Source organism: Homo sapiens, chromosome 1 (assembly GCF_000001405.40).
Source record: "Homo sapiens chromosome 1, GRCh38.p14 Primary Assembly".
NCBI lineage: Eukaryota > Metazoa > Chordata > Mammalia > Primates > Hominidae > Homo > Homo sapiens.
Genome location: NC_000001.11, coordinates 25,579,012 through 25,595,177, shown reverse-complemented (window position 1 = coordinate 25,595,177; position 16,166 = coordinate 25,579,012). Strand labels below are relative to the sequence as shown.

The following is a 16,166-nucleotide window of genomic DNA, read 5'->3' as shown; positions in this document are numbered from 1 at the left end:
GGATGGATGGACAGATGGATGAAAGCTTGGGTGGATGAATAGATGGATAGACAGCTGAATGAAAGTTTGGGTAGAAGAATGGATAGACAGATGAATGGAAGGTTGGGTGGATAAGTAGATGAATGGACAGGTGAATGGAAGGTTGGGTGGACAGATGGCTGAATGAATGGGTGGATGGATAGATAAATGGACAATGAATGGATGGACAGGCAGGTAGATGGAGGAAAGGATGGGGAATGTTTAGGAAAGTGGTTTGGTGGAGAGAGTGGGTACATATATTTGGCAGGTGGGAAGATGCTCAGATAGAGGGGCAGGCAGATACAAGTGGGTAAGTAGATGGGTTTGTGAATGGGCAGGCAGATAAACAGAAAGGTCAGTGGGTGTATGGGCAGGCAGGTGTATGCCCAGGTGATTGGATGGGTGGATGAGTGGATGAGTAGGTTTTACAATGTAAGGGAGTGAGAGGACAAAACTTGACTGATTGATTGATTGGCTTGTTCGTTTTCTTAGCTATTACCTCATTTCCTCTTCCATATCCTACTCCTATTCAGCCAGACACCTGAAAAGTTTACAGCAAGTTTCTCTATGTGTGGAAATTGTACCATTTATAAGATTATTTGGCCTGGTGCGGTGGCTTATGCCTGTAATCCCAGCACTTTGGGAGGCCGAGGAGGGCGGATCACTTGAGGTTAGGAGTTTGAGACCAGCCTGGCTCACGTGGCGAAATCCCATCTCTACTAAAAATACAAAAATTAGCTGGGTGTGGTGGCGCGTGCCTGTAATCCCAGCTACTCAGGAGGCTGAGACAGGAGAATTGCTTGAATGCAGGAGGCAGAGGTTACAGTGAGCTGAGATTGTGCCACTGCACTCTAGCCTGGGTGACAGAGCAAGACTCCCTCTCAAAAAAAAATTATTTTATGTAATTACTGAAATACAGTAATCTTAGAAAGAACCGAGACAGAAAGTTCCATCTGGTGCTACCATGTCTTTAACACTTTGTTGACACTTGTGATTCTCCCTTTTTAAAAAGAGAAAGTAGACTGTAAAATCAGAGTCTTAGGCAATGAAATATAACACTGCAAACAGTCCCTGACTTAAATGATGGTTCAACTTACAATTTTTTTGACTTTATGATGATGCAAAAGCAATGAGCATTGAGTAGAAACTGTACTTGGAATTTTGATTTTCGATCTTTTTCTGGGCTGGCAATATGTGCTTTGACTTGGAGCTGCAACTCACAGTCAGCCACAGGACTATGAGGGTAGACAGCAGATACTCCACCATGGACTGGGTTGCCAGATGACTTTGCCCAGCTGTAGACTATTTTAAGTGTTCTGAGCACATTTAAGGGAGGTGAAGCTAAGCTATGATGTTCAGTAGGTTAGGAATATTAAATGCATTTTTGACATAGGATATTTTCAATTTACGATGGGTTTATCAGAATGTAACCTCATGTTAAGTCAAGGAGCATCTGAATTTTGTTTTCATTTGGTTTAGTTTTACTGTTACTTTGTGTATATCATACAAATTAGGATAGTGTTACAGAGGGTTTCCTTTTTATATGAATGTATTTAAGTAAACTGATTCAGCTATAAGTAAAATATTAAGCAAATAGTATTTATTACCAGGACAAGAGATGCTGGATATGGCAAAGTTCCTGGAGCTATTTGCAGATATTTGTTCTGGGCATGTCATGTCCAGACTTAAGAGCCACTCCAGATCCTTCATGAGCCCACCCTGTTCTCCCCATTCTCATACACACCCATGAATCTCCTTTATTTTCTACCCACTTGCCAGACTCTCTCTTGCCTTCAGAACTTTGCACCTGTATGTCCCTCTATCCTGAACTCTCTACTTCTCTCTTTTTTTTTTCTTTGAGACAGAGTCTCGCTCTGTCACCCAGCCTGGCCTGCAATGGTGCGATCTCGGCTCACTGCAACCTCCACCCTGGGTTCAAGCAATTCTCCTGCCTCAGCCTCCCAAGTAGCATGACGGCACCCACCATCATGCCTGGCTAATTTTTGTATTTTTAGTAGAGACAGGATTTCGCCATGTTGGCCAGGCTGGTCTGGAACTCCTGACCTCAGGTGATCCACCCCCCTCGGCCTCCCAAAGTGCTGGGATTACAGGCGTGAGCCACCGCACCCGGCCCTCTCTCCTCCTCTTTAAGAGAATTCCTACTCAGCCCTCGGATCTCAGTTTAGATGTGGCGTCATCCAAGAAGCCTCGCCTCGTCCCCTCAGCAGGGCTGCAAGTCCTTCCTCGGGCTCACACGGCATCCTGCACTGCCTCCATCACAGCGCCCGCCGGCCCGTGCGGGAGACACAGCTGGGCCAGTTGCCTGCGCTGCTGAGAGGGGGCTGGTGAAGGACTAGGACGCTGTCCGCACTCACTCATTTGGCACAGTTTTACCAAATGCCTGCTTAGGTGCCAGGCGCTGTTCTAGGTGCTGGATATAGAGCGGTAAACAGGACAAACTTATTTATTTATTTTTAAAAAACGAAAAATGGGCCGGGCGCAGTGGCTCACGCCGGTAATCCCAGCACTTTGGGAGGCCAAGGCGGATGGATCACGAGGTCAGGAGATGGAGACCATCCTGGCTAACACGGTGAAACCCCGTCTCTACTAAAAATACAAAAAAAATTAGCTGGGCGTTGCGGCGGACGCCTGTAGTGCCAGTTACTTGAGAGGCTGAGGTAGGAGAATCGCTTGAACCCGGGAGGTGGAGGTTGCAGTGAGCCGAGATGGCGCCATTGCACTCCAGCCTGAGTGACAGAGCGAGACTCCATCTCAAGAAAAAAAAGAAAAATGGCCAGGCGCGGTGGTTCCCGCCTGTAATCCCAGCACTGAGGAGGCCGAGGTGGACAGATTACTTAAGTCCAGAAGTTCAAGACCAGCCTGGGCAACATGGCGAAACCCCCATCTCTACAAAAAATACAAAAATTAACCAGGCATGATGGCATGCGCCTGTAGTCCCAGCTATTTGGGAGGCTGAGCTCAGTAGGAGGACAGCTTGAGTCCCAGAGGTGGAGGTTACGGGAGCCAAGATCGTGCCACTGCACTCCAGCCTGGGCAACAGAGCAAGACTCTGCAAAAAGAAAAGAAAAAGAAAAAGAAAAGAAAAGGAGAAAAGGAAAGGCCAGGAGCAGTGGCTCATGCCTGTAATCCCAGCACTTTGGGAGGCCGAGGCTGGTGGATTGCCTCAGGTCAGGAGTTTGAGACCAGTCTGTCCAACATGGTGAAACTCCATCTGTACTAAAAATACAAAAAAAAAAAAATAGCCATGCGTGGTGGCGAGCTCCTGTAATCCCAGCTACTCAGGAGGCTGAGGCAGGGGAATTGGTTGAACCGGGGAGGTGGAGGTTGCAGTGAGCCAAGATCGCACCACTGCACTCCAGCCTGGGTGACAGAGTGAGACTCCGTCTCAAAAAAAAGAAATAAAAGAAAAAAAGAAAAAATAATGTATTTTGTCCAACTTCCCCTCTAGAATGAAGAGGGAATCAGATAAAATTAATAAAAACAAATGTATCTTATATACAATTTCAACTTGCAATAAGTCCTTTCAAGAAATTAAGGCAGGGTGCGGTGGCTCACGCCTGTAATCCCAGCATTTTGGGAGGCCAAGGTGGGCAGATCACCTGAGGTCAGGAGTTCGAGACCAGCCTGGCCAACATGGCGAAACTGTCTCTACTAAAAATTCAAAAATTAGCCGGGCATGGTGGTGCATGCCTGTAAATCCCAGCAACTCAGGAAGCTGAGGCAAGAGAATTGCTTGAGCCCAGAACCCGGGAAGCTGAGATTGCAGTGAGCTGAGACCGCATCACTGCACTCCAGCCTCGGAGATTCCATCTCAAAAATTAAAAAAAAAAAAAAAATTAAAACAGGGTTAGGGGATATTTTTAATGGATAATTATGGCAACAGCAGCTGCTGTTTTATTTTATTTTTATTTTTAAATTTTTCTCAGCATATTATACCTCTGTGTGGCTGCTAATTTTGAATGGGGTCAGATGAGGCCTCTCTGAGGAGGCGACATTTGTACAGAAACCTGAAGGAAGTGAGGAAAAGAGGAACAATGGAAGAACACAAGTGAAGCCCCCAGGGGCAAATCAGCATGGCATGTTTAAGGACCATCTAACTGGGTCTGACCGCACACCGCATCCCTGCATACCTGGGTCTGACCGCACACCGCATCCCTGCATAACTGGGTCTGACCGCACACCGCATCCCTGCATAACTGGGTCTGACCGCACACCGCATCCCTGCATAACTGGGTCTGACCGCACACTGCATCCCTGCATAACTGGGTCTGACCGCACACTGCGTCCCTGCGTACCTGGATCTGACTGCATACTGAAGTAGGGTGAACTTCCAGGATGCGGCAAGCCTGGGACTGTGGCACCCATTCTGGGGTTCAAGAAGGAGGCTCCCCTAGGCCTGAGAACATGTTCTGAGCAAACAGGAGGCAGGAAGTCTTCTTCACCAGCATGCCAGCCTACTCTGAGCCCAGCCTGAGAGACCGCCAACATTTGCAGAAATACTTCCTGTTAACATTTACCTTGGCTGATGTTTATTAATCGGGTCTATTAATAGACTTTTTGTTTGGCCTTTCCTAAGGAATAACTTCTAGAAGAAGCATTCCTACCCAATTATGCCCTGCCTTGCACAATGCTTTGGGTTTGTAAATTGCTCTTCCATCCTTATCTCTTGATCCATTCATTTACTTATCCATAGCACACAATTATTGAGCAGGGAACAAGACAGACTCAACCCCTGTCCTTGTGGAGCATATATCTTTTATGAGAGACAAGTGTGGAGGCCCCTGGTGGCTCATTTTCTTCCTGCCTGTGGTAGTTTAGCAGAGCTGGCTCTGCTGGACCAGGCCAGTCTGCAGGGAATAGCTGACATCAGCTTCGGCGGATAGCAGTGTTCTTGTGTGCAGAGGATTCTTCGAGACTCTTCCTGAGTCCTGGGCATGCAGCCCTGGGCCTTGGCGTATTAGTCAGGATCTCTGGAGAAACAGAACAAATAGGATACAGAGAGCTATACATATAAGAGGGTATTTATTTATTTATTTAGAGACGGAGTCTCCCTCTTTCACCAGGCTGGAGTGCAGTGGCACAATCTTGGCTCACTGCAACCTCCACCTCCTGGGTTCAAGTGATTCGCCTGCCTCAGCCTCCCAAGTAGCTGGGACTACAGGCGCGTGCCACCATGCCCAGCTAATTTTTTTGTATTTTTAGTAGAGACGGGGTTTCACCATGTTGGCCAGGATGGCCTCGATCTCTTGACCTCATGATCCGCTCGCCTCGGCCTCCCAAAGTGCCGGGATTACAGGCATGAGCCACCGCGCCCGGCCCGTAAGAGGGTATTTATTATGGGAGTTGGCCCACACAATTATGGAGGCCAAGAAGTTCCATGACCTGCCATTTGCAAACTGGACAGCCAGGAAAGCCTTGGTGTAATTCAGCCCAAATCTGAAGACCCAAAAAACCAAGAGCTTCAGTGCTGGAGGGCGGGAGAAGATGGAGGTCCCAGCTCAAGAAGAGAGAGAGGGAGAATTTACCCCTCCTCCAGCATTTTATTCTATATTCTATATTATTACTCCATTCTTTCATTCTGTGAGAGACTGGATGGTGCCTACCCACATTGGTGTGAGTGGATCTTCTTTACTTAGTCTATGGATTCAAATGTGAATCTCTTCTAGAAACGTCTCACACACCCATAATGATAATGGGTTTACCAGCTATCTGGGCATCCCTTACCCCAGTCAAGTTGATGCATAAAGTCAACCATCACACTCAACAAGCATACTCCTTAGTGTTGCTCACCCCCAGCCCTTGATATATTTCTTTCTTTCTTTCTTTCTTTCTTTTGAGATGGAGTGTTGCTGTGTTGCCTGGGCTGGAGTGCAGTGGTGTGATCTCGGCCCACTGCAACCTCCACCTCCCAGGTTCAAGCAATTCTCCTGCCTCAGCCTCCTGAGTAGCTGAAACTACAGATGTGCGCCACCACGCCTGGCTAATTTTGGTATTTTTAGTAGAGACGGGGTTTTGTCATGTTGGTCAGGCTGGTCTCGAACTCCCGACCTCAGGTGATCCCCCCGCCTCGGCCTCCCAAAGTGTTGTGATTACAGGCGTAAGCCACCATGCCCGGCCCAGGAAGACTTCTTAGAGGAAGGAACACTACATCTTGCAGATGCAGAAGTGGACATGGAAAGAGGAGTGGTCCAGGCAGCGGGGAGAGCACATAGGACCTAAAGACAAGATGGAAATGGCACTCTCAAGGCGCTCCATGACCCAAGAGAAAAGCAGGGCGGACCCACTTTAAGACGGAAAAACAGAACCTCTGTGAGGCCACTTTGAAGGGGTGGGTTGCCCCTCCACACCTGTGGGTGTTTCTTGTTAGGTGGAACGAGAGACTTGGAAAAGAAAGAGACACAGAGACAAAGTATAGAGAAAGAAAAAAGGGGGCCCAGGGGACCGGCGTTCAGCATATGGAGGATCCACGCCGGCCTCTGGGTTCCCTTAGTATTTACTGATCATTATTGGGTGTTTCTCAGAGAAGGGGATGTGGCAGGATCATAGGATAATAGTGGAGAGAGGGTCAGCAGGTAAACAGGTGAACAAAGGTCTCTGCATCATAAACAAGGTTAAGAATTAAGTGCTGTGCTTTAGATATGCATACACATAAACATCTCAATGCCTTCAAGAGCAGTATTGCCGCCCGCATGTCCCAACTCCAGCCCTAAGGCAGTTTTCCCTTATCTCAGGAGATGGAATATACAATCAGGTTTTACATGAGACATTCCATTGCCCAGGGACGAGCAGGAGACAGATGCCTTCCTCTTGTCTCAACTGCAAAGAGGCATTCCTTCCTCTTTTACTAATCCTCCTCAGCACAGACCCTTTACAGGTGTCGGGCCGGGGGACGGTCAGGTCTTTCCCTTCCCACGAGGCCATATTTCAGACTATCACATGGGGAGAAACCTTGGACAATACCTGGCTTTCCTAGGCAGAGGTCCCTGCGGCCTTCCGCAGTGTTTGTGTCCCTGGGTACTTGAGATTAGGGAGTGGTGATGACTCTTAAGGAGCATGCTGTCTTCAAGCATTTGTTTAACAAAGTACATCCTGCACAGCCCTTAATCCATTTAACCCTGAGTTGACACAGCACTTGTTTCAGGGAGCACAGGGTTGGGGGTAGGGTTACAGATTAACAGCATCTCAAGGCAGAAGAATTTTTCTTAGTACAGAACAAAATGGAGTCTCTTATGTCTACTTCTTTCTACATAGACACAGTAACAATCTGATCTCTCTTTCTTTTCCCCACACACACCTGACCCATCCAAAATAAGGTTACTGATATGCGGTGGACCCTAGATTTGAACCCCAGCTGTGACTGCACCCAGAGTCCTCCCGCCACGCCCACTCCCACCGTGGATAGCAGTTCTCAGTAACTCTTTCTCTTCTCGGGTTGGCCATTTCCATTCTCCACATTCCCACTCCACGCCTATGTGCACAGTTTCCACAGCTCCGCTCGGTGAAACACTAACTTTCCTTCTGGTTCCAGCACAAGTCCTGCCATTGGAAGGGATCTTGCGCTCCCATTTGGGCTAGGTTTGAGGTTAACGGTTGGTTTGTTGTTCGGAAATTAGGGGTTAGACTGTGGTCACAGGCACAGATCAGCTAAGGACGGAGGTCAGGACTGAAATTAAAAGTGAGTCATGGCCGGATGCAGTGGCTCACACCTGTAATACCAACACTTTGGGAGGCTGAGGCAGAAAGATCACTTGAGGCCAAGAGTTCAGAACCAGCCCTGGGCAACATGGTAAGACCCTGTCTCTACAAAATAAAAAATAAAATTAGCAGGGCATGGTGGTACATGCCTGTGGTCCCAGCTACTTGGAAGGATGAGGCAGGAGGATAGCTTGAGCCCAGGAGGCTGGAGCTGCAGCAAGCCAAGATCACACCACTACACTCCAGGCTGGGCGACAGAGTGAGACTCTGTCTCAAAAATAAAATAAAATAAAATAAACAAAATAGAAGTGAATCATGACAGAATTTCTGATCGGAGTCAAGGTTTAGTTAGGGGCCAGGATTAGAGTTTAGAGTATAGTAAGGGCCCAGCCTGGAACAGGGTTCAAAGAATTGTCTAAAAGACGAGGGCTCAGTTTTAGAGCAAGTTCAGGGCTCAGCCTGGAACCAGATTGAGGATCCATCCTGGAACCAGGATTAGGGCTCAGTCTGGGACTATGATCATGGCTAAGCATGGAGCTGGGGTCATGCTCACTCTAGGGTCAGCTTTGGGTCTCAGCTTAGAACTAGAGTCAGGGTTCAGCTCAGGCTGGGGCTCAGAGATGTGAATCTGCATCTGAGAGTGGATTGAGGACCATCAGGGCTCAGGCATCCCTGGTCAGGGCCCCCATCTGCTCAGGCCTGGAGTGTGAGCTGTGCCCAGAGTGGGAGTGAGGCAGGAGAAGCCCAGTGAGGGCAAAGACACACCTCAACAGAGCCCCCACCCCTGCTGCAGTGCTGTGCTCCAGACTTCCTAACTCAGCCCCCTCCCTGACCCAAAACACATACACACACACACACGCGCGCACACGCACACACACGCACGTACACACACACACATGCACACATACGCACACACATGTAGGCACACACACATGTGCATGCACACACACACACGCACACGCACGTGGGAAGCAGAGATCTAGGTATGTGGCCCTGGGAAATGCTGTGGCCCTGATGGACGCTGGTGTCTGCAGGGACCAGTCTGCCCAGATCAGATGCGGCCGCAGCACAATCAGCTCTCAGGCAGGCCCAGAGATGAGTGCAGGGACAGGGAGGGGCTCAGTCTGCAACTCTCTCCAGCCAGCCTATCATGAGAGCCCCTGGGCCACCCAATCTGAATACCAGTTCTTGGTCGCGCTTTCTCTTCTTTGGATTGGCCATTCCCATTCTCCTATCATGAGAGCCCCTGGACCGCCTGTCTTTAGAAGTCTGGGCCTCTACAAAAACCATCCACATTGCCTACAATTAGTCCCCTTGGACTGGCACTGCCCAGACCCCTGGAAAGATGATGGCCAGGTGTAGGGGAAACAGCCCTGGGCTTGGTGCTGGGCTCCTGGGTGCCACTGTCTTGCTTCCCTTCTCTGGGCCATCTGTAAAATGGGAATAAAACGACACTCTCAAGGAGGGTGGGTTATTTGACAAATGAAGAAACTGACAATCAGAGAAAAAGGAAGAATCTGACCGAGAGTCACACAGCCCAGTGAGGGGCAGTGTGGGGACTAAAACCCAGGCCTGCTGACAGCAAAGGCCTTACTTCTCTTGCCAATCAGGCCTCCTTTGTCTCAGAGGCTGACCTGTTCATGCCCACCTCAGCCCCTCATACAGGCTCCCAGGAGTAGGCAGTAGAAAGGGAGAAGGGGTGGGTAGGGGCAGGACAGACTGCCCCTTCCTTGGGTCTGCTGGGATGTCGGAGCACAGGAGAGTCAAATAGGCCCAGAGGCCAGTTCCAACTCTGGACCCAGGTTAAAACCCCAGCTTCCGTAAGGCACAGTGGCTCACGCCTGTAATCCCAGCACTTTGGGAGGCCGAGGCGGGCGGATCACAAGGTCAGGAGATTGAGACCATCCTGGCTAACACGGTGAAACCCTGTCTCTACTAAAAATACAAAAAGTTAGCCAGGCGTGGTGGCAGGCACCTGTAGTCCCAGCTACTCAGGAGGCTGAGGCAGGAGAATGACGTGAACCCAGGAGGTGGAGCTTGCAGTGAGCCGAGGTCGTGCCACTGCACTCCAGCCTGGGCGACAGAGTGAGACTCCGTCTCAAAAAAAAAAAACAAAAAATAAAAAACAAAAAACCCGGCTTCCCCACACACCTGCTGCGTGCTCTCAGGTGAATCGCCTCACCTCTCTGAGCAAGATGTGAACCTCCATCTACAAAAGAGAGATAATCAGAGCTACTTCCTCTTTTGCGATTATTAAATAAGAAATGCATAAACAGAAATGATCTATAAATGTTGCTGTTGCCACTGTCGCCACCGCCAGCCTCAACTCTTACCGCTCTGCCCTCAGTCTCAACACCCCACACCCACCGGTCTTCCCATCTCCCCATGTGCCACACTGCTTCTTGCTTTGGGACCTTGGGACATGCCATTCTTTTGACCTGGTCTGACCTACAAAAGTCACTTCCTCAGAGCACCCCCAGATGAGATCAGAACATTCTCTGCCCTGCCCTTTGTAGCACTTGCCAGGACTGTAACATGAGGCTGGGGTTATAGGTGGAACAGGATAGCAGCAGGAACTTTTCCATTTGCCCCAGAATTGACAGCTGGGGTTCAGAGCCAGGGTAAAGAATTGCAGAACACCCCAAATCCTGAAGACAGGCCCCAACACATAGGGCCAGATGCTCCCTCTAGGGCTTGCCGAGAAGGCAAGACTGGCCCTCCCATCCCTCTACTTCTAGATTTACGTGGGGGAAGGGATTCTTCAGGGATATGAAGCTTCAGCTTCATATGGAAGCTGTGGATTTTCTCTCCTCTTCCCCACCACCCAAGACCCCTCTCAACCAAGCCCAGTGGGAGAGGCACCAAGAAAATCACATGTTATTATGGAGGTAGGAAGGTCCCTGCTGAGAGGCAAGACTGGCATCTCCCTCCTGGGGACCTCTGCTGGTGTGGCCAACTTGCTCTGTCCCTGGGCCTGTCTGAGCAGGGGAAGAGAGTAGTGGAGAGAAATGGCAGGGTGGAAGGTGCTGGCAATAAAGCAGTCCACATGCCTGCCATTTGCTGAGGCCAGCAGAGAACACAGAAAAAAAAAACTGAACTTGTACCATCTTTTGGGACCCAACCAAGAAGACACCCACCACACAAGGGGCCCCAGCAACAGGAACCATGGGGCGGACTGCTGCAGGCAAGCGCAGGGGGTTGGGGGGCATTGGAAGAGGTTATCTAGGAGCCAGATAACCACATCAGGTGACTGTGGAGGCTGAGGCCCCCACGGGACCTCCAAAGAGCACACACATGTTCCCACAGAGCCAGCGTTCAGACACCTGCCACGCGGAGGACCTTGGCAGCTGACAGGCTCAACCCACAGACAGGAGCACGGTCTGGGTGGATGAAGAAGGAGATATTGCCCGTCAAGCCCCTGTTCTCTCAGCCCCTGTGCTGGAGAAGCCAGATGTTAAAAATAGAGAGGGAGACACGAAGCACTGGCATGTGCTACAACGTGACGAAACTTGAAAACATCCCACAGAGCGAGAGAAGCCAGACAAAAGACCACACATGTCATAGGAATCCATTTATATGAAATGTCCAGAACAGGCAAATTCACAGAGACAGAAAGCAGATTAGTGGTTGCCTAAGGCTCGGGGGTTGGGAGTGCAGAGACATGGTGGAGGATGGCATAGGGGTTTCTAATGGATAGGGATGGGAAACTACAAAAGGTGTAACATACATATAATGGGCATACCAGAAAGAGATGACAAAGAGAAAGGAATGGAAGCAATATTTGAAACAATGATAACAGAAGTTTTCCAAATTTATGTCAAGCACCAAACTACAGATCCGGGAAGCTCAGAGAATACCAAGCAGGATAAATACAACAACAATAACAAATCTACACCTAGCATATTATTTGCAAACAACAGAATACCAAAGATTTTTTTTAATCCCAAAAAAACCTGGGCTCAGTGGCTCACGACTATAATCCCAGCACTTTGGGAGGCTGAAGTGGGCAGATCACTTGAGGTCAGAAGTTCGAGACCAGCCTGGCCAACATGGCGAAACCCCATCTCTACTAAAAAAGTATAAAAAATTAGCCAGGCATGGTGGCAGGCTCCTGTAATCCCAGCTATTCGGGAGGCTGAGGCACGAGAATCACTTGAACCTGGGAGATGGAGGTTACAGTGAGCTGAGATGGCTCCACTGCACTCCAGCCTGGGCAACAGAGTGAGACTCCACCAAAAAAAAAAAAAAAAATCCCCAAAAAAGCCAAAGGAAAAAAAACACCTCACCTACAGAGGAGCAAAGATAATTATATCCAACTTCTCAGAAACCATGCAAACAAAAAGAGAGTGGAATGGAATTTTTGTTTTTTTTTTTGAGATAGTCTCACTCTGTCCCCCAAGCTGGAGTGCAGTGGCACGATCTCGGCTCACTGTAAGCTCTGCCTCCCGGGTTCAAGTGATTCTCCTGCCTCAGCATCCCAAGTAGCTGGGACTACAGGCCTGCGTCACCACGCCTAGCTAATTTTAGTATTTTTAGTAGAGACGGGGTTTCACCATGTTGCCCAGGCTGGTCTCGAACTTCTAACCTCAGGTAATCCGCCCACCTCGGCCTCCCAAAGTGCTGGGATTACAGATGTGAGCCACCGTACCCGGCTCATTGTATACTTTAAATGAGTTGTATGATATGTGAATTATATCACAATAAAGCTGTTATTTTTAAAAGGATGGGGATTCAAGTCTAAGGTGATGAAAAAGTTCTGGAGATAGACAGTGGGGAAGGCTGTACAACAATGTCAGTGTATGTAATGCCATTGAACTGTATACTTTAAAAAGTCAAAATGGTAATTTTTTTTTTTTTTTTGAGATGGGGTCTCGCTCTGTCGCCAGGCTGGAGTGCAGTGGCACGATCTCGGATCACTGCAACCTCCACCTCCCAGGTTCAAGCGATTCTCCTGCCTCAGCCTCCTGAGTAGCTGGGACTACAGGTGCATGCCACCATGCCCAGCTAAGTTTTGTATTTTTAGTAGAGACGGGGTTTCACCGTGTTCGCCAGGATGGTCTCGATCTCCATATCTAGTGATCTGCCCGCCTTGGCCTCCCAAAGTGCTGGGATTACAGGCGTGAGCCACCACGCCCAGACCATTCTACCATAATTTTTTGAAATAAATTTTAAAATAGAGCGGGGGAAGTATCTTAGAACCAGATAATGCATCCCCAAATATTGGAGTCAGTGGGCCAAGGACGTACCAACTCAGTCAATGTCTGATGAAAGAATGAAGAGCTTCCCTTATTTGAGAGACAAGAAAACTGAGGCCCAAGGGGAAGCCATGGCACTGCCCAGGGCTGCACAACAGGGCCAAGGCAGAGATCAGGACCAGAACCCAGATAAGTTCCACCCCTGGGAAGCCCAGGCCTGCGCTGGGTGGGGCTGGATTTCACCAAGCCCCTCCCCCAGCTGTGCACATCTGTCCATCTCAGCGGGATGAGGCCGTTGCCCAGGAAGCTGGCCAAGGACTCAAACATCCAGGACAGAACAACAGAGGCGCTTCCAAGGGGCAGTATTGGCAGCCTCATGCTTGAACCTGAGCCCTACGGGGCTGCCCCCTCCTGCCTGGCTCTGGGGGCTGTATTCCTAAGGCCACACTTTGTCTCTTTACCCCAAATCCTCCTACCTCAGCAGGAGTACCGGGATGCGGTCCAGGTCAGCTACTGCCTGGGGGAGGCACTCAGCAGGTCCCTGCCCCTCCCGGGGTCTCCATTTCCCCTTCAGCATAGTCAGGTTTCATCCAGCTCTGCCGGTCCCACTCCTCAAATCTGCGCAGCCTTTGCTGACACTGCTGTCTTGGAACACTTAGCCCTTCAGGTGCCCTAGTTGGAGGGAAGAGACGCCCTGCCGTTAGAAGCCTCAGCCCAAGGTGGGAGACAGGGCCCTGCACACAGGAGCTCCCGATGTGTCAGAGGAGCGAGAGTTCTGCCCTTCAGAGCTTCCAGCCTGAAGAGGGAAACAGACCACCCCGGATTCAGCAACTCCTGGTCTGATGGGGGAGACCTGAACCATCACAGGAGTCTCCTGTGTCAGTGCTTGGGCCCTGTTTGGTATCTCTCTTTTTCAGAAACCCTCTCCTCTCCCTGGCTCAAGAGGCCAGGGGCCCATACCTACCTCTCTGCTTCTCAGAATTCAGCTGCCCTCCTAGTTTACTCAGCAGTGCCCCCGCCCCAGGCTGCTGGCTACAGCAAGCATCACGACAGAATGCCCATGTGCTGAGGCCCGGCAGAGAACACATGTTCCTCACACCCCATTTGCTTTTGGTGAGAAGCTCTCCAGCCCAGCACGGCACCCTCTTGGTCCAGGACCGGCCCCCAAGCAGGCCAATGGCAGTAACATCTAGAATTAGGAAGTACTCAGTCTAGACAGGCCCTTCCTGCTTTTGCTAAGGCCAACAGACTAAGGCTGGCCTCAATTTAGGGAAACTCCTCCAGAGCCTGGTTCTGAGCCTTCCGGGATTCATGGTGTCCTGCCGGGTTCTCACAGTACCCCAAAGCCTGGGGTTACTACTGATGAAGAAACTCAGAGCCTGGTCCCCATCTATAAAATGGGGTTGATAAAAGCAACACCTCTTGAAAGATAATTGTGGGCCAGGTGCAGTGGCTCACACCTGTAATCCAGCACTTTGGAAGGCCAAGGCAGGAGGACTGCTTGAGACCAAGAGTTCGAGACCAGCCCGGGCAATGTAGTGAGGCTCCATCTCTACAAAAAAAAATTAAAAAGTTAGCCAGGTATGGTGGCTCACACTTGTGGTCCCAGCTACTTGGGGGGCTGAGGAGGGAGGATCACCTGATCCCAGAAACGTCAAGGCTGCAATGAGCTGTGATTGTGCCACCGCACTTCAGCCTGGGCAATGTGAGACCCTGTCTCAAAAATAATAATAATTGTGAAGATTAAATTGAGATAATGAAGCCAAAATGTTAGCACAGTGTCTAGCCAAGGTGAATAATTTCTAGCTTTTGGTTTTGTTTTGTTTTTTTCTCACTCAGCATTCAAACCCCCTTTTTAATTTAATTTTTTTGTTTTAGAGACATTCTGTTACCCAGGCTGGAGTGCAGTGGTGCTCCTTAGCCTCCCAGAGTGCTGGGATTACAGGCAGGAGCCACTGTGCCCGGCCTCGAGCCTAGTGAACCTTACAGGAGACAGCTCTGTCTTCCCATGCAGAAGCTGATGTTCACCCTAGTCAGCTAGGAGCAGGCATGACACCGACTCCATCCACCAGGAGCCTACCCTGAATCTGCGGAGAACAGACAGAACAGACAGAAGCAGACATCTTCTGTAGGGACACCCTGCCTGTGTCCTGACTGCCAGCCTCCCTCGACAGCTGTTCTCTCTCTGAGCCCACTTCTCCAGCCGATTGCCTGAGCTCCTTGGTGTCTTTCCAATAAGTTCCTTTCTGCTTAAATTAGCGAGGGTCAGTTTCCATTGTTTTCAACTCAGAAACCTGGCGGGTTTGGAAATTGGTTGGAGGGGGTGGGTTTCGAGCTCCATACCCTTGGGGAAATGATGATCTGGTCTAGTCAGAGCTGAAGGAAGGGAAAATCCAGTTAGCGTTCAGGGATGAGAATCTAGCAGCTGTGGTAATGTAGTGGTGAAACAGCTAATTAAGTTATATTAATTAATTAAATTATGGCCTGTGGCCATCTGGGAAAAAAGTGCCATTGAAGGCAGAGCTTCGAGGGTCTGAGTCGACACTGCTATTGAACACATGAATGGCACGAAGATTTCAGAGATGGGGTAGCTGCTTCTGTGGCACTGGGCGATTCAAGGAAAAAAGAATAACAAGCTTAAATCCCTACATTCTTGGCTCAAGGCATGGACTGGAGCCTAGGAACTTTCTATAACTGTGCTGAAAACAATTCTCTTATCTTTGATGGCAGCAGGATTAAGTCTGTGAAAAACCAAATGTAAAATCTGACCCTTAGCATCACCACGTGACAGCGGCAGCTGAGCTCGCCGCCTCCTCTTCCTCTGCCTGCTGCCTAAATCCTATCAGTTCCTCTGGGTTGCTCCTGGGTTTTCTTCTCTTCTTGCCCTGCAGCCCTGCAGGGTGTGGGACGCATTTGGCCTCAAGTAACAGAAAGCTGCGCACGTGGAGGTGGATCCTGGTGCAGATCTGTGTGCAGGTGCTTTTCACTCCCAGCTCTGCTGTTCTCAGGGCTGGCCTCATCGAGTGGGGTGCTGGAGCTGGGTCTTTCTGCCTTGCAAGAACAGACTGTGTGCATCTTAACTCCAGGTTAAGTGATGTCATGTTGGTAGCCTGACATTGGCCATGGTGGCCATATTTATACTAGGAAATCGACAAGCGCTACAAGTCAAGGCTTTAAACAACACATGGAGAGGTGGCATACTGCATACTGTTAGCTTCATCCCAGATCTGGTCCTCT

At 49.7% G+C, this 16,166-nt stretch overlaps 1 protein-coding gene across 6 annotated transcripts in view, besides 2 other annotated features; it reads right to left on the bottom strand.

Moving 5' to 3' along the window:
• Positions 1 to 4,777: 4,777 nt before the first annotated feature.
• The window catches only part of LDLRAP1 (low density lipoprotein receptor adaptor protein 1), a 46,795-nt gene continuing 35,406 nt past the window's right edge, over positions 4,778 to 16,166 (bottom strand). For 3 of the 6 annotated variants that reach the window (XM_006710561.5, XM_011541212.4, XM_017000995.3), the window contains one exon: positions 4,778 to 5,009. In XM_006710561.5, the coding sequence (XP_006710624.1) occupies positions 4,997 to 5,009 (13 nt within the window). In that variant the 3' untranslated portion in view covers positions 4,778 to 4,996. Of the gene's footprint in view, positions 5,010 to 9,885; positions 9,944 to 13,444; positions 13,602 to 16,166 lie in introns of those variants that run through there. The other 3 variants (XM_006710560.5, XM_011541211.4, XM_047417473.1) reach the window with 2 other exon arrangements.
• Positions 10,325 to 10,888: an enhancer, noted in NCBI's record as "H3K27ac-H3K4me1 hESC enhancer chr1:25910781-25911344 (GRCh37/hg19 assembly coordinates)". NCBI's record gives its function as "activates a minimal SCP1, AML or CMV promoter by ChIP-STARR-seq in naive H9 embryonic stem cells {active_cell/tissue: H9 hESC(naive)}" and the evidence as "EXISTENCE:reporter gene assay evidence [ECO:0000049][PMID:30033119]".
• Positions 12,780 to 13,628: an enhancer, noted in NCBI's record as "H3K4me1 hESC enhancer chr1:25908041-25908889 (GRCh37/hg19 assembly coordinates)". NCBI's record gives its function as "activates a minimal SCP1, AML or CMV promoter by ChIP-STARR-seq in primed H9 embryonic stem cells {active_cell/tissue: H9 hESC(primed)}" and the evidence as "EXISTENCE:reporter gene assay evidence [ECO:0000049][PMID:30033119]".